General features: G+C 47.3%; 1 protein-coding gene across 6 annotated transcripts in view; it reads right to left on the reverse strand.

Moving 5' to 3' along the window:
* Positions 1-23836, reverse strand: part of STAT5B (signal transducer and activator of transcription 5B) — an 89194-nt gene that overhangs the window by 9476 nt on the left and 55882 nt on the right. For 3 of the 6 annotated variants that reach the window (XM_024450897.2, NM_012448.4, XM_024450898.2), the window contains exons 2-15: positions 23348-23485; positions 18877-19033; positions 16127-16216; positions 14730-14904; positions 11060-11190; positions 10660-10811; positions 10071-10226; positions 9499-9678; positions 8725-8812; positions 8508-8630; positions 7362-7454; positions 3332-3538; positions 1751-1845; positions 1519-1649 (exon numbers count right to left, since the gene is read on the reverse strand). In XM_024450897.2, the coding sequence (XP_024306665.1) occupies positions 1519-1649; positions 1751-1845; positions 3332-3538; positions 7362-7454; positions 8508-8630; positions 8725-8812; positions 9499-9678; positions 10071-10226; positions 10660-10811; positions 11060-11190; positions 14730-14904; positions 16127-16216; positions 18877-19033; positions 23348-23475 (1906 nt within the window). In that variant the 5' untranslated portion in view covers positions 23476-23485. Of the gene's footprint in view, positions 1-1518; positions 1650-1750; positions 1846-3331; positions 3539-5879; positions 5951-7361; positions 7455-8507; positions 8631-8724; positions 8813-9498; positions 9679-10070; positions 10227-10659; positions 10812-11059; positions 11191-14729; positions 14905-16126; positions 16217-18876; positions 19034-23347; positions 23486-23836 lie in introns of those variants that run through there. The other 3 variants (XM_047436593.1, XM_017024977.2, XM_005257626.5) reach the window with 2 other exon arrangements.

The raw sequence follows: 23836 nt of genomic DNA on the forward strand, positions 1-23836 counted from the left end.
CCTGATTTCCCATACAAAGATATATAAAAGCTAGGAAGCATGCCCACAACCAGAGAAAGCATAAGAGCTATTAAAAGTGATGAATTTTTTTTTTTTCGAGATGGAGTCTTGCTCTGTTGCCCAGGCTGGAGTGCAGTGGCGCGATCTCGGCTCACTGCAAGCTCCGCCTCCCGGGTTCACGCCATTCTCCTGCCTCAGCCTCCCAAGTAGCTGGGACTACAGGTGCCCACAACTACACCCGGCTAATTTTTTTGTGTTTTTAGTAGAGACGGGGGTTTCACTGTGATGGCCAGGATGGTCTCGATCTCCTGACCTCATGATCCGCCTGCCTTGGCCTCCCAAAGTGCTGGGATTACAGGCGTGAGCCACCGCACCCAGCCTTTTTTTTTTTTTCTTTTAAGAGACAGGGTCTTACTCTGTTGCCCAGGCTGGAGTACAGTGATGTGATCATGACTCACTGTAACCTTGAACTCCCAGGGTCAAGTGATCATCCCACCTCACCCTCCAGAGTAGCTGGGACTACAGGCGCACACCATGAGCACCACCATGCCCACCTAATTAACTTATTTATTTATTTATTTACTTAGAGACAGGGTCTTACTATGTTGCCCAAGCTGGGCTTGAACTCCTGGCCTCAAGAGATCCTCCTGCCTGAGGCTCCCAAAGTGCTGGGATTACAGGCATGAGCCACCGCACCCAGCCAAAAGTTATTAAAAACTTTAATTCACAGAAAATGAACCAGCAAGCTACCCTTATTGTGAGGGTCAGAGGAGAGAACTAACTTTCCTGATGCCCTGGTGCAGTGGCTCAAGCCCGTAATCCCAATACTTTGGGAAGCCAAAGTGGGGGATTGTTTGAGCCCAGGAGTTCGAGACCAGCCTGGGCAACATACAAAAAATTTAAAAATTAGATGGGTGTGGTGGTGCACGTCTGTGGTCCCAGCTAATCGGGAGGCTAAGGGAGGAGGACTGCTTGAGGCCAGGAGGTCAAGGCTGCAGTGAGCCATGTTTGTGCCGCTGCACTCCAGCCCGGGCAAAAGAGTGAGACCCTGTTTCAAAAAAAGAAAAGAACTAACATCTTGGGTAGAAATGGTTGATGGCAATATCCATATGTTAATTAGGATAAAGGAATATTTTTACTACTGTAAGAACTCCAAATCATCAAATTCTTCACTGAAATAAGCTTTATGCAGAGTAGTACAATAAGGCAAACATTTTAAGAGGGAAGCAACTGAGATTCTGCACGGACTCTTGTATCATAGGTAGCCATGTCATGGTTAAATGTTCATGTGTAACCATGCTGCCATATACTTTCATGTATAACCAAATTAGCAATTGTGTTTCCCATAATAGTATTTTTCATAGGCTGCCTTATTATGAGTATGTCATGGCTATACATTTATGTTTCCCATAATTAGTACTGACCTCAACAAATAGTAAGTACCCACTAAATTATTTGTTAAAATAATTTTGTAACGAAAGCAGCTAACTTTGGACATAAGAAGGGAGGGGCACTCACGAGAATCAAACTTCCAAGCAATGGTGATGCCGCCAATTTCTGAGTCACTGAATCTCAGGAGGAAGGTCCCATCTGGCTTGTTAATGAGTAGGTCATGGGCCTGTTGCTTGTTTACAAACCCCAAAATGGCCCTGGATCACCAAGGACAAAGGACAGAAGCAGAGTGTGACTTACGATGCCAGAGAGAAGACCTTCAGACTCTGTCGGCGCCTTAAGAAATAATGATTCTCACCCATCATTCCAATGAGGCTTGAGATGTTTTTTTAACACTTCCATCACACCGTCAAACCATTGCCAGAAAGTGTAATTCCGTCCTGGTAAATTCTCCTGGTTGGAGATACAACAGTGAACATAAGAACACCAGAGTAACACTTGGAATATTATACACATATTTAATTGGAAAAATTAAATGGGAAACAAACATCTACCCTTGTCAGAGGCATACAAATATCCCCGCCTACCTGAGTTTTACCTAATGGCCCCATGGAGAGGAAAAGAGGGAAGAAGGGGAAAATACCAAACTGCAGTTACCAGCACCCAGTGGGCTCCTGCTACAGACACTTTCACCTGGGACTGGGCTGACCCGTCCCTTGCTAGTTTCGATGTGTGGTCTGTGACCAGAAGCATCAGTGTCACCTGGGAGCTTCTGAGAAATGCACGTTGTTAGGCTCCAAATTAAACATTTAAAACACCTTGGGGGTGGGGGGTGTAGGAAAAGAAACAAAAATTAAATTCAAATCAAGGTGATAGCCGGGCATGGTGGCTCACGTCTGTAATCCCAGCACTTTGGGAGGCTGAGGTAGGCAGATCACTTGAGGTCAGGAGTTTGAGACCATCCTGGCCAACATGGTGAAACCCCGTCTCTACTAAAAATACAAAAATTGGCTGGACATGGTGGCGGGTGCCTGTAATCCCGGCTACTCAGGAGGCTGAGACAGGAGAATCACTTGAATCTGGGAGACGGAGGTTGCAGTGAGCCCAGAATGTACCACTGCACTCCTTGTGACAGAGCGAGACACCATCTCAAAAATAAATAAATAAACAAAAATAAATAGGGTGGGCACAGTGGACTCACGCCTGTAATCCCAGCACTTTGGGAGGCCGAGGCGGGCAGATCACCTGAGGTCGGGAGTTCGAGACCAGCCTGACCAACATGGAGAAACCCCGTCTCCACTAAAAATACAAAATTGCGGGGCGTGGTGCCGCATGCCTGTAATCCCAGCTACTCGGGAGGCTGAGGCAGGAGAATCGCTTGAAACCAGGAGGCGGCGGTTGCGGTGAGCCAAGATCGTGCCATTGCAGTCCAGCCTGGGCAACAAGAGCGAAACTCTGTCTCAAAAAAAAAAAATGAATAAAAATAAAATCAAAGTGACGTCTGAATTAGCAGATGCTAGAGGAGGAGTTTCTTTCATCAGCATCCCTCTTTGTGGGTTGAGGGTCCCATAGGAGCCTGATCTGGCATTACACATGGGGAACATAAGAGAGTAAAGGGGAGAGAGGCCCAGAGTTCGCATCCCCTCAAAAGCTTTGCTTCTCATGAGCTATGTTAACATCTGCTTTGCTCTATTTCCTTTACAAAGGAAGAAAATGCATTAACTGTAGACAAAGGTCAACTTATTTAAAATATGCAAAGATGTAATTTTCTACACGTGACCTGGGTAACTCTCAAGTTGTCCATCTAGTCAGAAGCTTCTATTACTTTCGGTACATTTTATTAGAGACATGAAGAATAAGGGCCCAGGGCAGGGAGACTCCTGAGAGCATCTGGTTGGGAAGGACTGATCTAACAGCGGCTGGCAGCTGGGCTCCTCACCCTGTTGAACTGGGACCAGGACACAGACAGGCCACTGTAGTCCTCCAGGTGGCTGCTGCTGTTGTTGAACAGTTTCTGCGCCAGGAACACGAGGTTCTCCTTGGTCAGGCCCCGGTTGCTCTGCACTTCGGCCTTGAATTTCATGTTGAGCGCCTCACACAGCTGTGGCCACAGCACTTTGTCAGGCACGGCAAATGGCACCCTGCCCTGAGAGGGAGAGAGGCCAGAATCTGATGAGAAAACAGTTGCATGATTTATTCCCTCAAGCCACAAAAGAAAAACGCTGATGGCTGGGAGTGGTTACACACATTTGTCTTGCAGGGCCTGAGGATAAATTCAGACTCTGCTGGGGTACACGGTTCTGTGAAATTCAGAAGGTTCCGTTTCACCTTCTTTACACACAACTAGAAGGTAACCCATGCTATCCATGCTGTTTTGTAAATGAGCTGCTGAACTAACAGTCAAATCCTATGTTCTAACGGCCACAAACCAAAACATAACCAAGGTCTGGCTCTTAGATTGTAAACACCTTGGGAATTTAGAAATCTGAAAGACTGGTCCTCTAGGTACAAACAGAGAGAGTGTGCGTATGTGTGCACACGTGTCGGCATGTGTGTACACACGTGGAATCATTGCCCTCGACTCCTTCTGCCAAGAATTCTAGCTCAAAGTAAAACAACTTGGTATGGAAGAGTGGAAATTTTGAGTTGGATGGCTTTATTGAGAAATAGGTTAGAAGATTAACTTTTAATAAACTGCTTTTCAACCCGTTCAGCCATAGTACTCCATTTTATTTTGTTACAAACACTTTTTTCAATAGGTGATTTTCACATGATTTAAAATTCAAAAAGCACAGACGGCTACACAGTGAAGTCACTCCCTATCCCTGTCTCCCAGCAACCCAGTTCTTTTCTTTAAAGGCACCTAACACAGTTTCTTGTGTATCCCACCAAAGATATTCTATGCATGCCAGCAATGACATATACCTTTTCCTTTTCTTCACAAATGACAGCACAAAATCCACATGTTCTGCATCTTCCTCTTTTCACTTAATCCTCTATCTGGGAGACCTCCCATCAGCACATAAAGAAATTTCACCAGACCCCCATAGATGGGCATCAGTGTTACAGCCTCATCTTTAGCTATTACTAACAATGCTGCAATGTTCTTATGTTATTTGACCCACAGGACACATAGGCAAATATATATGGAGAATAAATTTCCACAATTATTTTTTTTTTTAGGTAAGGTCTCGCTCTGTCATCCAGGCTGGAGTACAGTGGCCCAATCTTGGCTCATTGCAACTTCTGCCTCCTTAGCTCAAGTAATTATCCTACCTCAGCCTCCCAAACAGCTGGGACTACAGGCGTGCACCACCATGCCTGGCTAATTTGTGTGTTTTTTGTAGAGACAGGGTTTTGCTATGTTGACAAGGCTGGCCTCAAATTCCTGGGCTCAAGAGATCCGCTTGCCTTGGCCTCCCAAAGTGCTGGGATTGCAGGCATAAACCACTGTGCCTGGCCACAAGTCTTTATTATTTATTTTTTATTTTTTATTTTTTTGAGACAGAGTCTCACTGTGTTGCCCAGGCTGGAGTGCAGTGGCACCATCTCAGGTCACTACAACCTCTGCCTCCCAGGTTCAAGCAATTCTCCTGCCTCAGCCTCCCGAGTAGCTGGGATCATAGGCACGCACCACCACGCCCAGCTAATTTTTGTATTTTTAGTAGAGATGAGAGTCTCACCATGTTGGCCAAGCTGGTCTCGAATTCCTGACCTCAAATGATCCACCCACCTCGGCCTCCCAAAGTGCTGGGATTACAGGTGTGAGCCACCGTGCCCAGCTGAAAGTCTTTTTTTTAACATAGCATAAGGTCGGCTGGGTGCAGTGGCTCATGCCTATAATCCCAGCACTTTGGGAGGCCGAGGTGGGTGGATCACTTGAGGTCAAGAATTCGAGACCAGCCTGGCCAACATGGTGAGACCTGGTCTCTACTAAAAATATAAAAAATTAATTGGGCGTGGTGGCATGCACCTGTAATCCCAGCTTCTCGGGAGGCTGAGGCAGGAGAATCGCTTGAATCCAGAAGGCAGAAGCTGCAGTGAGCCGAGATAATGCCACTGTACTCCAGCCTGGGTGACAGAGCAAGACTCTGTCTCAAAAAAATTAAAAAAAAAAAAATAGCATAAGATGTAAGTAGTCATTAACATAGCTGAGAATGTTAAAAATGCTTATTTATTTAGACAAGATACTTGAGTAATTACATGGTGCAGGAGATGCCAAAGGTACACAGAGAGTGAGATCTGTGGACAGGCAGGGAAGGAAACAAGAGATGTGGCAATCTTATCTAGGAGGCTTATCAGGACAAGAGGCAGACAGACAGTTTCAAAAAGGAGCTTCTGATTCAGAGTTTGTAAGTGAAGTATGGTAAATCTCTTAAAAATCTCACCTTTGCAGTAAAATACTTTTTCTCTAAAGAGGAGTGTTGGGAAACGTTAAGCCTCTCCACGTGAGCCAGAAGGTTCCATTTCACCTTCTTTACACACAACTGGAAGGTAACCCATGCTGTCCATGCTGTTTTGTAAATGAGCTGTTGAACTAACAGTCAAATCCTATATTCTAACAGCCACAAAACAAAACATAATCAAGGTTTGTTGGATATACTTAGAGAAGGACATGCTCTTATGTCCCAAATGATAACCCTTTTATCATGCTTTTATGGACTAATCTCTATTGGAAATATGTAACAAATGACCTTTGCCTACTAAAAAAATTTTTTTCTTTGAGACAGGGTGTCGCTTTGTCACCCAGGCTGGAGTACAGTGGCACAATCTTGGCTCACTGCAGCCTGGACCTCCTGGGCTCAGGCGATCCTCCCGCCTCAGCCCCCCCCAAGTAGCTGGGACTAGAGGCTGGTGTACCATGCCTGGCTAATTTTTTGGTATTTTTTGTAGAGACAGGATTTTGCTATGCTGCCTAGGCTAGTCTGGAGCTCAAGGGATCTGCCTGCCTTGGCCTCCTGGAGTGCTGGGATTATAGGCATGAGCCACCGCACCCAGCCTATGAGATCTTTAAAATGCTCATCGAGCAGCATGCTAGTGGGATTCAGATAGCGTTTGGGTGCATAAATCCACCAAATTATATCTTCCTTGAGGCAAAGTATCTCATTCTTCATGAGACCTAGAATGAATCACAGAAACTAAAATTTGGAAAAGACATTTAACAGCATCTTCATTTATTGAAAGGAAGAGGGTATGAAGCAACTTCTATGCTAAAGTAAGCCTCTGGAGAGATCTAACCTCTGGAGTGAACCTAGGAGTCCCAAATCCCATTCATAGTTTCACCCAAGGATTCAAAATAATATTTACTGAGTACTGACTGTGTGGCAAGCATTTTCTATGTTATCTAATTTAATCTTCCTAACAATGCTGTAGAGCAAGAGTATCCCTGTGCTGCAGACACTTGCTGGAAACTCAGGCTCAGAGAGGTAAAGTGAACTGCCCATGTGGTCATGGAGTGAGGAAATGGTGGAGTCTCAGTTCAAACCCTGGCCCGATGTCAAGCCCATGTTCTTTCCACTTTCCACATTCTTTCTATTCTGCCTCCCACTAAAGAAAACAGCGTCTTTTTTCCTATGCTTTTTTTTTATTATTGAGATGGAGTCTCACTCTGTCACCCAGGCTGGAGTGCAGTGGTGCGATCTCGGCTCACTGCAACCTCTGCCGCTCGGGTTCAAGTGATTGTCGTGCCTCAGCCTCCCAAGTAGCTGGGACTACAGGCATGTGCCACCACACCCAGCTAATTTTTCGGTATTTTTTAATAGAAACAGGATTTTGCTATGTTGGCCAGGCTGGTCTCGAACTCCTGACCTCAGGTGATCCAACCGCCTCGGCCTCCCAAAGTGCTGGGATTACAAGTGTGAGTCACTGCACCCGGCCTTTTCCTATGCTTTTTAAAAGGATAATACATAAATGAGATTCATGACACCGGCATTGATTTTGGGACCCACATGCCCGAGGAATACACTCACAGGCTCTGCAAAAGCATTGTCCCAGAGAACAGTGGCCGTCGCATTGTTGTCCTGGCTGCCATGAACGATCACCACCACTGGCAGGGACAGGGTCTAAAAAGACACAAGAGAAGGCTGAGCGCCCACGAGCCTCAAGTTCTTCTCCTTCTCTCTTTTTTTTTTTTCTTATTATAACAACACTTTTATTTTCCAAGTTTCAGTTAATGTTCCTCTCAGACACAGAATCTAAATGGCCCCAGGAATAATATGACTTTTCATACTGGCACAATCTTAGAAATTTTAAATATTTTACAAGCAATGTTGCTTAGATATTTCTGAAGGATAAAGTTTCTCAAAGTTACATGGAGAACAGGAGAGAGAAAAGACTATTGGAGATATTTCTGGGAAGAAAATACAAATAACAAATTTAAAACTTACCACAACCTTTACTCAAATTCATCCCAAGTAATGTTTCTCATATCCATTTTGTAGTCTACCTCTCCAGCTAGTTCAGTTCATTATTGTTTGTTCATGTTTTATTTTTTATTTTTTAATTTGTTGTTGTTGTTGAGACGGGGTCTCACAACCAGCTCCAGGCTGGTCTGGAACTCCTGAACTCAAGCAATCCTCCTGCCTTGGCCTCCCAAAGTGTTAGGATTACAGATGTGAGCCACTGCACTGGGCCTTGCTTGTTCATGTCTTTTTTTTTTTTTTTTGAGACAGGGTCTCACTCTTTCACCCAGGCTGGAGTGCAGTGGCACAATCTCGGTTCATTACAACCTCAGCCTCCCAGGTTCAAGTGATTCTCCTGAGTAGCTGGGATTATAGGCACGTGCCACCACGCCTGGCTAATTTTTGTACTTTTTAGTAGAGATGGGGTTTCACTGTGTTAGCCAGGCTGGTCTTGAACTCTTGACCTCAAGTGACCTGACTGCCTCAACCTACCAAAGTGCTGGGATTACAAGCATGAGCCACTGTGCTTGGCCTCTGTTCATGTCTTAAGAGAACCTAAGTGAAACAGTTCTCAGGGTGAGGTCAGTCCATTTTCAGTTTACCAACAGTCAAAAAGAAGAAGATGCTATGTGATAAAAAAAAAATATTTTGTAACATAAAGTACACCACACACACACACGCACACGCACACGCAGAGCTGAGGGAAGGCTTTACCTTGACTTGAAAAACCAGCTCATTTCCACCAACACTGAACTGGGATTCAAACAGGATTGTAAATTTTTCTTCTGTCACCGACTCTGCCCCACGACGGTCTGACCTCTTAATTCGTTTCAGGGACTACAAAGAAGAAACATAAGATGAAACGTAAGATATAAGTTGTTCCCCTCAAAGACCAGGGAAAAATTCATTCTTCCTCTTCTTCCACCCTCACCATATTCCTGAAGTGGGCACTAAGGGTGCCTGTGGCTTGGTGGTACTCCATGACGCAGCAGTTGTTCAAGATCTCGCCACTGTAATCACTGCAAATCAGAGAGAGACCAGCTCCAAACCCATGCCAGGGTCTCAGGACATGCGGAGTAAATAATATAATTTGGGGTAGCAGGAAATAGAGAAGTTTGCTAAAAATGTACGTCATTTAGAGGAAATGTTAGCTACATAACACATACATGTAATCTTCTCGGACGTATCTCTACAAAATGAAACAAGATCAAACTATCTTCACAGAAAACAGTTCCTAAGAGAACTTTTTTTTTTTTTTTTGTGACGGAGTTTTGCTCTTGTTGCCCAGGCTGGAGTGCAGTGGCGTGATCTCAGCTCACTGCAATCTCAGCTCACTGCAATCTCTGCCTCCCAGGTTCAAGGGATTCTCCTGCCTCAGGCTCTCTAGTGGCTGGGATTACAGGTGCCTGCCACCACGCCCGGCTAATTTTTTGTATTTTTAGTAGAGACAGGGTTTCACCATGTTGGCCAGGCTGGTCTTGAACTCCTGACCTCAGGTGATCTGCCCACCTCGGCCTCTTAAAGTGCTTGGATTACAGGTGTGAGCCACCACACCAGGCCCAAGAACTTCCTTATATTCCTTTGCTGATGCCCAGAAGAGGCCAGAAGGGCAAACAGGGATCTGACACAGGAGGCAGAATTCTTTTTTTCCTGTTGCCAGGACATGAGACAAGTAGCAGGGAATGAGAGGAAGCTGCACAATTACTTGCGGGTGTTCTCGTTCTTGAGCAGAGACTTGGCCTGCTGCTCACTGATGATGGTGGCCTTCACCTGGGGGGGGTTCATGTGCACGTTCAGCTTCCCGCCCACCAGCAGGCGCACAGTGGCTGCAAACTTGGTCTGGGTCTTCAGGACCTGAGGAGGCTGCTTCTCAATGATGAACGTGCTGCAGGGGACACAGGGACAGATGCATGATGAGGGGCTGGTGCAGGGGAAAGGGCTCTCAGTCCCTCTGTGGTGGGGGTGGGGCTGCCTCCCGAGGGGCTCAGGAGGTGAAGAGCTCGGGCACAGCCTCTGTTCCTGGGGAAGCCGTGAGAGTCCAGGGAGAGGATGGAGAGGGGAGTGAGATAACACAGAAGCTGGCATGGGCTGCAGCCCAAGGGCATCTCTTGCAGTGTCCACAGGAGAAACTGGGCAAGGGCCACAGCAACTGGAGATGGAGTTGGGAGGGATGAGAGGCAGGAAGTGGATCTGCTGGTCTGGAAGGCACCTGCGGCTCCCCCCACGCAGGCAGGAGCTGCCCCAAGCTCCTGGGCATGGCAAACAGGCAGCAGTCACCTGGTCACCAGGGCTGAGATAATGTCCGTGATGGTGGCGTTGACCTCGGCCAGCATCTCCTCCACTGGGCCGGGGATGGGCAGCTGCTGGCAGAGGTGCTCAGCCCTGCGGATCTGCTGCCGGTTCTGCCAGATGATCTCGGCCAACTTCTCACACCTGCACGAGAGCCCCAAGGCCAACAGGAGGACAATGGCTCCTCCGCACAGACGCCAGGCCCCAAGACACAGCTCCCGTTCCCCCAGGAAGGCTCTGTGCTTTCGCCACACTTCCCACCCATGGGAAGAGCAGAGCTCCCTGCCTCCCAGAATTAGAGACGTACACAGGAGGGGCGACCCTGACTAGGCCCAAACAGCCCAAGCATCACCCCACACACCCGAACCCTGTCCCATCTCCAGGACAGCAGCCCCCTTCCTGGGGGAGGTGCACAGGATGGGGGCCAAAGTCTGATTGAGGAACCAGGCTCCCTGGAGAAACAAGAGCTGTCCCAGGATGGAGGGGGCCTGCTGCAGGAGCCAGCACAGGACGCAGAAGCAGCCGGGATCCCCACCAGCCCCTCCTGCCCTGCCCGCTGGCCGCCCCACACCATTACCAGGACTGTAGCACGTCCAGGCTGCCCTCGGGGGGCCCGCCGTTCCCGGCCAGCTGCTGCCGCCGCTTCCACTGGATCAGCTCGTCATCCAGGATGATGGTCTGCTGCTTCCGCAGCAGCTGCAGGGTCTTCTGGTGCTTCTCGGCCAGCTCCTGAGGGAAGGGAGGAGAGCAGCCCCTTCTGGGCTCCCAGAGAACACCGCAGGGCCTCGCTGGGAAATGGCAGGGCAGGGCCCAGGCCGTTCCCTCTCCCCAAGCTGCTCTGCCTCGCAAGGCCCCCAGGAAAAAAGGCCTCCTGCCCTCCCAGGTTCTGCTCTCATGCTGGTCCCAGCCCTCCCTCGGGTCCCCAGAGACTGACTTCATGGCACCCACGCCCAGGAGAGGCCCAGGACCCCACTCACCACGCGGTACTGCTGCAGTGTCTGTGCCTCACGCTGCAACCAGGCCTCCAGAGACACCTGCTTCTGCTGGAGGGCCGTCTCCCGGCTCAGACGCTCCTGGGGGCTCAGCTGGGCCAGCGGGCCAAACTGAGCTAGAGGAGGGGAGAGGAAACCATGACCATCACCTCCCAGTGTCCAACAGGAGGCCCAGAGAAGCCCACTCACCCGTTCTGGAGCGAGACCCTCCTGGGCTCAGATACTGCATTAAGGGCAAGTCGGGGTTCCTGACAGCCAGGGGGGCCAAGATGAATGGGTGCCCCAGGAGGCGCCTCTGGGCCCTGCTCGCCAGCCTCCTGACTCTGAGCCGTCCCCTCTGGGGGCACACGGGTGCTGGGGCAGCTGGGGAGGAGGCCTGCCTGCCTCCTGCCCGCCTGCCTCACAGGGCTGCCAGCCCTCTTCTCGCGGCCCAGCATGGGTCCAGGCTGTCTGGGGTGTAAGTGTGCCCATGCCCTTGACTGCAGGTGAACCTGGGCAAATCGCTTTCCTTTCCTGTGCCTTGGCTTCCCCACGTGTAAAACGGGAGATTCTCGGCACCTGCCTCAGTGGGGTGCATTAAGATTAAATACATGAGGACATGGAAGATGCCAGAAAGCTGCCTGACATGGGTGAGCTCTGTGTGAGGTTCGTGCTTCTTGGTTAACGGGGAACAGGACAGAGAGAAGAGGTGACAGAGACAAGCAGCTGCTCGGCCCCATCCCTCCCGCAGCAAGGCCTCTTCAGGGAAACCCAGCCCCGGCGGCTCTGTCTAGTCCCTGAGCACAGCAATCCCTCCTCAGGGGAGGATGAGATTCTTGAGAGGCTGGAAGGGGCCCAGCATGTTTGTCCAGGTGAGCTCACTGTGAACCCAGCCAACCAACCAGGGAACACGGACAGACAGACAGACCGCAGAGGGAGAGCATGTCCAGGGCCACTGGGGATGCAGAGCCACCAAGATTCTCTCAGGAAAGGGAGGCCGAAGGGAGGCGGCTTCCCTCCACACCATCTGTGAGGAGTCTCATTGATGGCGGGACAGGGAGTAAGTTAGGCCTCATTACCTTTTAAAAATTATTATGAAATAGGTAAGACACAGGGAACGTGGAACACAGGAGCACCTGTGTATCAATAACCCAGGCTAAGAAAGTAAACATGTCCACAGTTACAACCACCACCGCAGGCCCACCCCACCCTCCCAGCGACAGCCCGTCTCCACCACACTGGGACTATTAATCCCTTCCCATCACCTTCTCAACAGCCCAGAGTCCTTGCTTGAGCTGAGTCAGAAGATGCGCGCACCAGCATGTCTTGGTCGAGCTCCTGGCTGGCCCCTGAGGGCCACGTCACTCTGACCCCAGCCCTGACCCATGGGATGCACAAGCTGGGACAGACAAAAGCAACTCTATGTAGCCAGGAACAGCCCAGAGCTAGAACTCAGAAATATGGCTCCAATCTCACTGCAGGTATCGAGCAGGAAGAGGATCATCCAGGGACGGACAGATCCAAGGTATCTGCACGGCTACCTCAGGAATCCTGCCCAGCCACAGGGAGGGTGGTGGTGATCCCAACACCTGGGCCCAGCCTTCCTATGCAAGGGACCCACTTAGGGCTCTCCTGGAAATTTGCAGAAGCTTTTGGGAAGGAGGCCAGGGAGACGGGAAGCAATTTCCCTACTCCACTGGAGGCAGCTGAGCCTTCCCTGGCAAAAGCAGATCAATAGTCTGTGTTTCTGCTGAGTGAACTTGACAAATGGGACTGAGAAGACACTGCGTGATAGATCCAAACCCAACCTGAATCCAAACCTAATCCGCCACCATGCACAGGAAACAGAAAAGCCAGGCACGGGATCAGAAATACTGTTGACAGTCTAAGGACTTGGGTAGGAATAGCCATCCCAAATCTTCCGTTTCCATTCTCTGAAGGAGCTGCCCTTCTTCTAGGGCCAGTCTAGGATGGATTCAGATAAAAAAGGAAGACAGGCTAGAATCATCCTGTCAACCTTTACTCAATAACTGTTATGTTTCAGGCATTGTGCTGGCCTCAGGGTACAGAGATAAAAGATATAGTCCCTTCTCAAAGATTTATATTCCAGTGGAGAAGATAAAGAGTAAATAAGTAGTATCACTATAGACATAAAATGGAACCTACATACATGGAATTAGAGGAGCATGTGCTGTGTGTGTGTGTGTGTGCTGTGTGTCTATGTGTGTGTGGTGTGTATGTGTGGTGTGTGTGTGTGCTATGTGTGGTGTGTGTGTGCTGTGTGTGGTGTGGTGTGTGTGTGCTGTGTGTGGTGTGGTGTGTGTGGTGTGGTGTGTGTGTGCTGTGTGTCTGTGTGTGTGCTGTGTGTGGTGTGTGTGTGCTGTGTGTGTGCACTGTGTGTCTCTGTGTGCTGTGGGGGGTGTGTGTGCTGTGTGTGTGTGTGCTGTGTGTGTGATGTGTGTGGTGTGTGTGTGTGCTGTGTTGTCTGTGTGTGCTGTGTGTGTGTGTGTTTGGAGGGGCTGGGTGGTTGAGCCAAGGCTTCTCTGAGACTGAGCTGGGCATGGAAGCAGAGAGGAAACTATTAAAGCTCAAACTGCCAAACTGCTACAGGGTCAAAAGGGGGCGCTGGTGGGGCTCCACAGCCTCACCACAGACTGAAGCTCTCTGTGCCCCAACTACTAAGCAGGATTTATACCAGGCTAGGGAAGCTCTGTCCATAAGGGCTACCTAAGGGGCGTTAAGTGTACTCTGTTTCAGGAAGACCTCTGTGAATAACTGCATAGAACATTAGAAATCATATACAGGTCCTTAGTACTTACACGTACCTGCTTAGAAAGGTTTCTTTTCCCCCTTAGAGATAGGGTCTTACTATGTTGCCTAAGCTAGTCTGAAACTACTGGCCTCAAGTGATCCTCCTGCCCTGGCCTCCCAAAGCACCAGGATTACAGGTGTGCAAAACCACTCCCAGCTTAGAATTTTTTTTTTTTTTTTTTGAGACAGAATTTTGCTCTTTTTGTCCAGGCTGGAGTGCAATGGTGAGATCTCGGCTCCCTGCAACCTCCGCCTCCCGGGTTCAAGAGATTCTCTTGCCTCAGCCTCCCAAGTAGCTGGGATTACATGCATGCGCCACTGGGATGCCCAGCTAATTTTGTATTTTTAGTAGAGACGGGGTTTCACCATGTTGGCCAGGCTGGTCTCGAACTCCTGACCTCAGGTGATCCGCCTGCCTCAGCCTCCCAAAGTGCTGGGATTACAGGTGTGAGCCACCGTGCCCAGCCAGAAAAATTTTTAAACATGTAATTATATAATTTCCTATTTATCATTTCAATAAAGCTCCACTTATAATATGCCTACTATATACAAAAGTATTGTTTGCTAGTATTTATTTAGACTGTGAGCTCCTTCTCAAAAGAAGAAATGTCTTCCCTGGCAGCTCAGAAGCTCCCTGGATGTGGGGACCTGAGTGAGATATGCACTTAAGCGGGGGGTCCTGTCATCTCCCCTTCCTAAATCTCATCCTCTCAGCACTGTCTTCAATGCAAATAAGTCCCTGCTACTCAGAGAAAGGTCGCTGCCTCCGAATGGAAAGTGTGCTTTCTCCCAACCCCACCAGAGCTGCTTTCCAGTCCCCAGGCCCAATCCTCAAGTTGCACAATGTGCCTCCACCGCGCCTCACCTTGGATCCTCAGGCTCTCCTGGTACTGGATGATGAAGTACTCCTGAGTCTGCTGCAGCTTTTTTAACTCATTCTCTGTGTCCTGCGTGACCAGTCGCAGCTCCTCAAACGTCTGGTTGATCTGGAGGTGTTTCTGGGACATGGCATCAGCAAGGCTTCCAGCTGGAGAGCTACCCTGGGAACATATGGGGGGCAGTGCAAGGCAGTGCGAATGGGAGGAAGACTGAGGCCTTAATCCCCAGGAAAAGCCAGCTCCTACAACCAGGGTAAGACCCCAAAAGGTAAATTTTGAGTCGGGAGGAAAAGCAAACGTCATCATGAGACACAGGGTGGAGTGGGAAAAGTGAGAAACAGGTGAGCGGACAGATCATGGCTCAGATCACAAAGCATGGGAGAAGCTTCCATTTCAGATCTGACCTCCACCAGAGTATTCCAAACGAGGTCCATTGAATTACCTTTGGAGAAACTAGAACGTAACCTGGTCCAGTGTCACCTGGGTTTTCCTACTAATGAGGAGGTGGAGTGATTCCTCTTCCACTCACTGACCCAATGCAAGGACGGCATTAAGCATTAGGGAGGCCATGGGGAGCAGGGCCATGTGAACACACATCATCTGTGTCCTCACTCAAGATATTCTCGTGATGGAATCATTTGCTTCCACCATGGAAGAGGCCAAACCTCTTGCAGGCATCCTGGAGACCCCAGGGTGAAGTGATGGGGGAGGCATAAACAAGGTCTCTGTGGACCCAGCCCTGTAAGTGACCTGATCAGACCACTCCTTCCACACCTGATTCAGGGGCTAGGGAAAAGTCTTTCCTAAGTATTCTCACCTGAATATGAGCATGCCTTTACTAAAAAATTATTCAGCTGAGGTTGAATTACTTTGCACTTGTTCACATTGTCTTGTGGTTGCAATCTCATCAAGGTTATAAATCAGTTAAGATCAGAGACCACATCTTCTATTTCATTTTTTTTTTTTTGAGACAGGGTCTCACTCCATCACCCATGAGTGCAGGGGTGCGATCATGGCTCACTGCAGCCTCTACCTCCTGGGCTCAAGGGATCTTCCCACTTCAGGTTTTCGAACAGCCAGGACTACAGGCATATGCCACCATGCCCAGCTAATTTTTTTGTATTTTTGGTAGAGACGGGGTTTCATCATGTTGCCCAGGGTGCTCTCGAACTCCTGGGCTCAGGCAATCTGCCTGCCTCAGCCTCCCAAAGTGCTGGGCTGCACTCAGTCAAGTCTCCTATTTCTTTTGTGCCCCTTAGGATGAAGCTCTCTTTAAAGAGACACCAATAGTGCACCCTGAGTCACCTTGACAAAGGTGGGTCCAGAGGGAGGTGGGTAAGAAAAGACTTCCCGACTGCCCTCCCCATCCCTATGGGACACTCACATTGTTGGCTTCTCGGACCAACCTCTGTTCATTGTACAATATATGGCGGATGCAGCGGACCAGCTCCATGGGGCAGCGGTCATACGTGTTCTGAAAGAATCCAACAGCAGACATCACTTTGTGCCACTCCACACTATGGGCCCTAACCATGCCTCAGGATGGGGAGCCTCCTGAGGGACCTCCTGAATCACAGGAGGCACTGTTCCTCCAATACCAACAGGAACAAGAAGGCACATCATGGAAATCCAATTGCAGTGAAAAGGTAAGATTGTTTTACTTCTTTTTTCTTTTTTTGAGACTGAGTCTCACTCTGTTGCCCAGGCTGGAGTGCAGTGGCACAACCTCGGGCCACTGCAACCTCTGCCTCCTGGGTTCAAGTAATTCTCCTGCCTTAGCCCCCCGAGTAGCTGGGATTACAGGGGCCCGCCACCACGCCTGGCTAATTTTTGTCTTTTTAGTAGAGATGGGGTTCCACCATGTTGGCCAGGCTGGTCTCGAACTCCTGACCTCAGGTGATCCACCTGCCTTAGCCTCCCAAAGTGCTGTTTTACTTTTTGCATCTTAATTTGCCTAAAGTATCCGGGGAACATTCTTAAAAACGGAATAAATAAGTTTTAAAAGCCTCGCAAGAGGAGAAACTGGATGCCACTCTCAAATGGGCAATCAAAACTACTACCACCAATGAGGGGACGAGGGACACTGCCCCCCTCTGGATGTGATACCCGAGAAGGACAAGTCACCTACAATTGTCCCTTGGCATCTGTGGGGGCTGGTTCCAGGACCCACTTGGATACCAAAATCTGCAGATGCTCAAGTTCCTTATATAAAATGGCATCGTTTTGCATAGAATGCATACAATCCTCCCATACACTTTAAACCACCTATAGATTGCTTATACTATCTAATACAAAAGAAATGCTATGTAAATAGCTGTTCTGTCATATCTTTATTTCTATTTGTTTTTACTTTTTTTCTTTTCCTGAATATTTCTGAGCTGCGGTTGGTGGAATCAGGATGCAGAACCCATGGACATGGACAGCCAACTATATTTAGAAGTCTGCTCGGAGATGTGCAATGTTAACGTAATCATGAGGAAACATCAGACAAACCCCAAATGAGGAACATTTTATCTTTAAAAAGCAGGGGGTACATGAATTATTATTATTATTTTTTGAGATGGAATTTCACTCTTGTCACCCAGGCTGGAGTGCAATGGCACGGTCTCGGCTCACTGCAACCTCTGCCTCCCAGGTTTAAGAGATTCTCCTGCCTCAGCCTCCCAAGTAGCTGGGATTACAGTTGTCCACTGCCACACCCAGTTAATTTCTGTATTTTTAGTAGAGATGGGGTTTCACCATGTTGGCCAGGCTGGTCTCGAACTCCTGACCTCAGATGATTCACCCGCCTCAGCCTCCCAAAGTGCTGGGATTACTGGTGTGAGCCACTGCACCCAGCCTACATTAATTATTTTAAAATGCCAATGTAATGAAAGACAAAGTAAGGTTGCAAAATGGTTCCAGATTAAAGGAGATTAAAGAGACATGATGACTAGATGCAATATGTGATCTTGGGCTGGATTCTGGACTGCAGCGGGGAAAAATACCCTAAAGGACATGTTTGAATTAGTTGACAAAATGGAAATCCAGATGAGTACCTAAAAGTATTATATCAATGCTAAATTTAGTGAAGTTGATCAGTGTATTATAACCATGCAAGACAAGGTTCATTCTTAGAAAATGCACAGAGGGGCTGGGTGCGGTGGCTCATGCCTGTAATCCCAGCACTTTGGGAGGCCGAGGAGGGTGAATCACCTGAGGTCGGGAGTTCGAAACCAGCCTGACCAACATGGAGAAACCCCATCTCTACTAAAAATACAAAAATTAGGCGGGTGTGGTGGCATGCACCTGTAGTCCCAGCTACTTGGGAGGCTGAGGCAGGAGAATCACTTGAACCCGGGAGGTGGAGGTTGCGGTGAGCCGAGACCGCGCCACTGCACTCCAGCCTGGGCAACAAGAGTGAAACTCCATCTCAAAAAAAAAAAAAAAAAAAGACAATGCACAGAGGGACCGGGCATAGTGGCTCATGCCTATAATTTCAACACTTTGGGAGGCTGAGGTGGGCGGATCACCTGAGGTCAGGAGTTCAAGACCACTGTGGCCAACATGGCAAAACCCCGTCTCCACTAAAAATACCAAAAAAAAAAAAAAACTGCCAGGCATGGTGGCAGGAGCCTGTAATCCCAGCTACTTGAGAGGCTGAGGCAGAAGAATCGCTTGAACCCGGGAGGCAGAGGTTGCAGTGAGCTGAGATTGCTCCACTGCACTCCAGCCTGGGCGACAGAGCAAGACTCCGTCTCAAAAATAAATAAATAAATAAATAAATAAATAAATAAATAGAAAATGCACAGAGGTACTTACTGGTGCAGGGACACAAGGTATGCAACTTACTCTCCAGTGACTGAAAAACGTGTGTGTCGAGAGACAGCGAGGAGTATATGACAACATAAAAGTCAACAACAGGTGAATATGGGCATATGTGGGGAATCTTTGTATGATTCTTGTAACTTTCTGGAAGTATGAAATTATTCTCAAATAAAAAGTAAAAAAAAAAAAAAAGACCAAAACCACACAACAAGAACCTTATGCACGTGTAACTCAACAATGCTGGACTGAAGGAGAGAAAGAAAGTCTCTACAGGAAGAAGACCCCCAAGGGAAGGTAATTAAGTGTGACCCCAGAGCCCACACCCACCTGGAGCTGTGTGGCATAGTGCCCCAGCTTGATCTTCAGTAAAAACCCATCTTCCCCCACCTGGTGCTCTGCCTTCTTCTGCAGCTCCTGCACCAGGCCCTCCAGGAGCTGGGTGGCCTTAATGTTCTCCTGTGGATTATCAAGATCTACTGAGTCCCTAGGGGAAAAAAATTACATAATCTGTATACATACATGCACGTGAGCCTGTATAAATACAGCCTCAACACATCCTACTTTTTCTTCAACTAAAGTGATGTTTTTAATCCTCACTGCAAATTTTAAGAAACAGCCCAACAGAAATGGACTCAATGCCTATGTTAATCTATTTGTAATTTACTAAATAGTTGGATTATACAGTAGATTTCCTTCTTTTAAAAAAAAAAATTTTTAACAATGTGCTGCCCTTCTTCCTTTCTCTCAATGATGTGCTTGGTGCTTATGCTATTTGCTCCGAGAAATGCAAGGAAAAGGAAAGGGTTCTGTGTACTCTGAAGGAAATAAGGACTTGGATAATTTCCTATTTATAGTTACCCCTCATGGGTGTAAAGGAGGCACAAGGCCAAGACTCTTCTACATGTCCTTTCCAGCCTCAAGGAGTTTGGTATCTGTGGGTTTCTTAGGTAGAGACAGGTGAAACAAGTTATTGCTATTTCTAAGAAGCCCTGGAAATGAGACATTCAGGCAGAGGGTGCCTACAAGAATTTATACGAGTCAGACATTCATGTCACTAGTTGCAGACCCAGGACCTGAAGGCAATGCCAACTTTTCCAGTAAACAAGGAAAACCACGCTACAGACTTTGCATTGATTTCAAGCTACTGAACTGGTGACGGGGGTTGGATGGTCTCCCTCCCTCCTTTCTTTCCTTCTTTCCTTCTTTCCTTCCGTTCCTTCCTTCCTTTCTACTACTTAGGCAACAATTGACACTGGGAAGTACCAAATTACTTACTCACTGAAGAAACCAAACAGCTGTCGGACTGAAATAACATTCAATAACTGCTGACTGGGTCTGGAGCCAAACAAGATAGTGGTAGCTAAAAGGCTCTGCCATCCCTAAATCCCTGAAGATAGCAACTAATTTCAAAAAAGAGGCACCAACAAGTGTATCAAAACAGTGAGACCGGCCGGGCGTGGTGGCTCACGCCTGTGATCCTAGCATTTTGGGAGGCCGAGGCAGGCGGATTACCTGAGCTCAGGAGTTGGAGATCAGCCTGGGCAACACGGTGAAACCCCATCTCTACTAAAACACAAAAGAAATTATCCGGGCGTGGCGGCATGTGCCTGTAGTCCCAGCTACTTGGGAGGCTGAGGCAGGAGAACTGCTTGAACCCAGGAGGTGGAGGTTGCAGTGAGCCAAGATTGCGCCACTGCACTCCAGCCTGGGTGACAAAGCAAGATTCTCTCTACGAAAACATAACAAAACAAAACAAAAAAAGCAGTGATACCATAGTCCATCAAATAGTACACCCCAATCTGCGCCTTGAGAAGGCAGTTAAGGCAAGTCAGATTCTAAATATGTGTGCCCTATGTATTAAATAGAATACGTATTAAATGAAAGGCTGGAAGGAATGAGGGCAGCCCTGCACCTCTGTTTCAACTGGCAACAATGCCCTTGGTCTGGAAACCCACTCTTTTTCTTTGAGACGAAGTCTCACTCTGTCACCCAGGCTGGGATGCAGTAGCACGATCTTAGCTCACTGCAACCTCTGCCTCCCGGGTTCAAGTGATTCTCCTGCCTCAGCCTCCCAAGTAGCTGGAATTACAGGCGTGCACCACCACGCCTGGCTAATTTTTGTATTTTTAATAGAGACGGGGTTTTACCATGTTGGCCAGGCTGGTCTCAAACTCCTGATCTCAAGTGATCCACCCACCTCAGCCTCCCAAAGTGCTGGGATTACAGGCGTGAGCCACCGTGCCCGGCCAGGAGCCCACTCTTAAAAGGATCCAGTCTCTGAGCAAAACTCACAGAAGTCAGGTATTGGTTCTTTACTTGAAACCTTAATTCTCTGTTAAAAAAAAAAAAGACTTGCTTAGATGGCTTAAACATAAAGAACTAAAGATTTGGCTGGGCCCGGTGGCTCAAGCTTTTAATCCCAGCACTTTGGGAGGCCGAAATGGGCAGATCACAAGGTCAGGAGTTAGAGACCAGCCTGGCCAACATGATGAAACCCCGTCTCTATTAAAAATACAAAAATTAGCTCGGTGTGGTGGCGGGCACCTGCAGTCCCAGCTACTCGGGAAGCTGAGGCACGAGAATTGCTTGAACCCGGGAGGCGGAGATTGCAGTGAGCCGAGATCACGCCACTGCAGCCTGGTGACAGAGCGAGACTCCATCTCAAAAAAAAAAAAGAATTGAAAATTCTTCATTAAAATCTTTATATTCTGAAGAAAACCAAAGCTAAAAAATTTCAAGTTTTCCTTAATATCAACACAAGTCTTTTAATTCATTCAGTGAGAACACCAAATGAGAACTCTGCTAAGTGAAATCTGAAATTAACAGCAACTTCCTACTCATGTTTTTCTAAATCCTCCACATCAGAAAACAGGAGAGAAAATGAAAAGGGAGTGGAAAGCACTAAACGAGGTACAGCTGACATTCTCATATTTAGCTAATTTTTTTCCCTCACTTAATTACATGAAGTTGAGTTTTTTTTTAATTGCCTAGAAAATTGCCTTTCTTTGGTGATCTTTAGTTTCTGAACAGAAATTTGCTACTAACACGCATTGCGATTATTCTAAGGCAACATTACAGACAGGTATATGGCCCTTTGCAAATAGCAGCATCAAAGCTGGTTCTCTCAGGGACTGTCAAAGAGGACCCATGGCTAAGACGGTGAGGCTTGAAGTATCAAATGAATATGTCAGATCGACTGACAGACTGTAACCAACCAGCAACCTCCCAGACCTTGAGCAGAGCAGTGTACATCCTGCTGCCTGGTGTGTAATAATGATACCAATTAAAAACCTGTGCTGTTAGTCGACTGCACTGTACTAATTCTAAAAGAAATTTAAAACAACTCTCCCCTCCCCCAAGTATGTAATCAGTAATCTGGAAAATAAAGAAAAATTAAAATGCTTATCAAATCTACCACCAGAATGTAATTAGTGTTAACATTTGGGTATATTTTCGTTTAGTTTTGTTTTTTTTTTTTAAAGGCAGTCTCACTCTGTTGCCCAGGCTGGAGTGCAGTAGTGCGATCTCGGCTCACTGCAACCTCTGCCTCCCGACTTCAAGCGATTCTCATGCTTTAGCCTCCAGAGTAGCTGGGATTACAGGCGCCCGTCACCACGCCCAACTAATTTTTTGTATTTTCAGTAGAGATGGGATTTTGCCATGTTGGCCAGGCTTGTCTCAGAACTCCTGGCCTCCAGTGATCTGCCTGCCTTGGCCTCCCAAAGTGCTGGGATTACAGGCATGAGCCACAACACCCACTCAATTTTCTTTTAGTCTTTATGTGTATATATAAAATACATATAAATTAAAAACACCAATGTCTCCACTGTTAAATTATTAATTTTTAGTTTTTTGTTAGATGTAAACTTATTAAGAAATGTAAAATAATTTATATTTAATAAACTATAAGAAATAAATTATAATTAAATTATATGCATATTCACACCTATCTGCCCCATTAAACACTAAATTATTATTATTATTTTTTGACATAGGATCTTGCTATGTTGCCTAGGCTGGCCTCAAACTGCTGGGGTCAAGCAATCCTCCCACCTCAGCATCCTGGGTAGCTGGGATTATAGGTGTGCACCACCATGTCCAGTGAAACACTGAATTATCTGGAGATGAGGGCTTTAATTTTGTTTGTTTGTTTGTTTTGAGACAGGGTCTCACTCTGTTGCTTAGGCTGGAGTGTAGTGGTGTGATCATGGGTTACAGCAACCTTTGCCTCCCAGGCTCAAGTGATCCTCCCACCTCAGCCTCCCAAGTAGCTGGTACTACAGGTGCACACCACCACACCTGGCTAATTTTTGTATTTTGTACAGAGACAGGGTTTTGCTATGTTGCTCAGGCCTTCCTTGAACTCCTGGGCTCAAGCAGTACACCTGCCTTGGCCTCCCAAAGTGTTGGGATTACAACACAATGTTGGGCTTTAATTTTTTTCATATAAATTCTACTACTTAGGACACTGCTAGGCATCCCATGGGCACTCGAAACATATTTGTTGGCTGCTCTTTCTTAGCAGTAATATTCTAATGCTTTTAGACAGTATTTACTATTAAAGGGGAACAAATCCTGTTTTAAAAATCCCAAGAGTTATTCCATCCCCTCAATCTAAGATGGGCTTAAATACCTTTCACCTATAAAAAGAAAAAAAATTTTAAATACCTTTTTATGGATCACATTTAAAAATGTTTAAAAATACAACTTTGAAAGTTGCCATCATGACATCTTTCTAAACAAACTCCAATATTCTTGTGTTTCACAAAATATGATGCAAACATCCTTGTTCACCTACCATGCTTGGCTTTCAATCCACTGGGATAAATAATGCCGCACCTCAATGGGAAAATGCTGGCCATATAACGCTTGCATCTGATGAAGGGCTTCTCCTTGGAGCTGCTGAGCTTGTATCCACACAGCCATGGTTTACAATCTGTTGAACAAACAATCAGTGCTTTGGGCGTTTTTTCTTTATTTTCCCCTTACATCCACCAGAGTAAATATTCACTTAGTTACCAAGGTAAATGTTTTTATTTTATTATTTATTTTTATTTTTATTTTTTTGAGACAGTCTCGCTCTGCCACCCAAGCTGGAGTGCAGTGGCACAATCTTGGCTCACTACAACCTCCGCCTCCCCGGTTCAAATGATTCTCCTGTCTCAGCCTCCTGAGTAGCTGGGATTACAGGGGCACACTACCATGCTTGGTTAATTTTTGTATTTTTAGTAGAGATGGGGTTTCACCGTGTTGGCCAGGCTGGTCTCGAACTCCTGACCTTAAGTGA

This window comes from Homo sapiens, chromosome 17 (assembly GCF_000001405.40).
Source record: "Homo sapiens chromosome 17, GRCh38.p14 Primary Assembly".
Classification (NCBI taxonomy): Eukaryota; Metazoa; Chordata; class Mammalia; order Primates; family Hominidae; genus Homo; species Homo sapiens.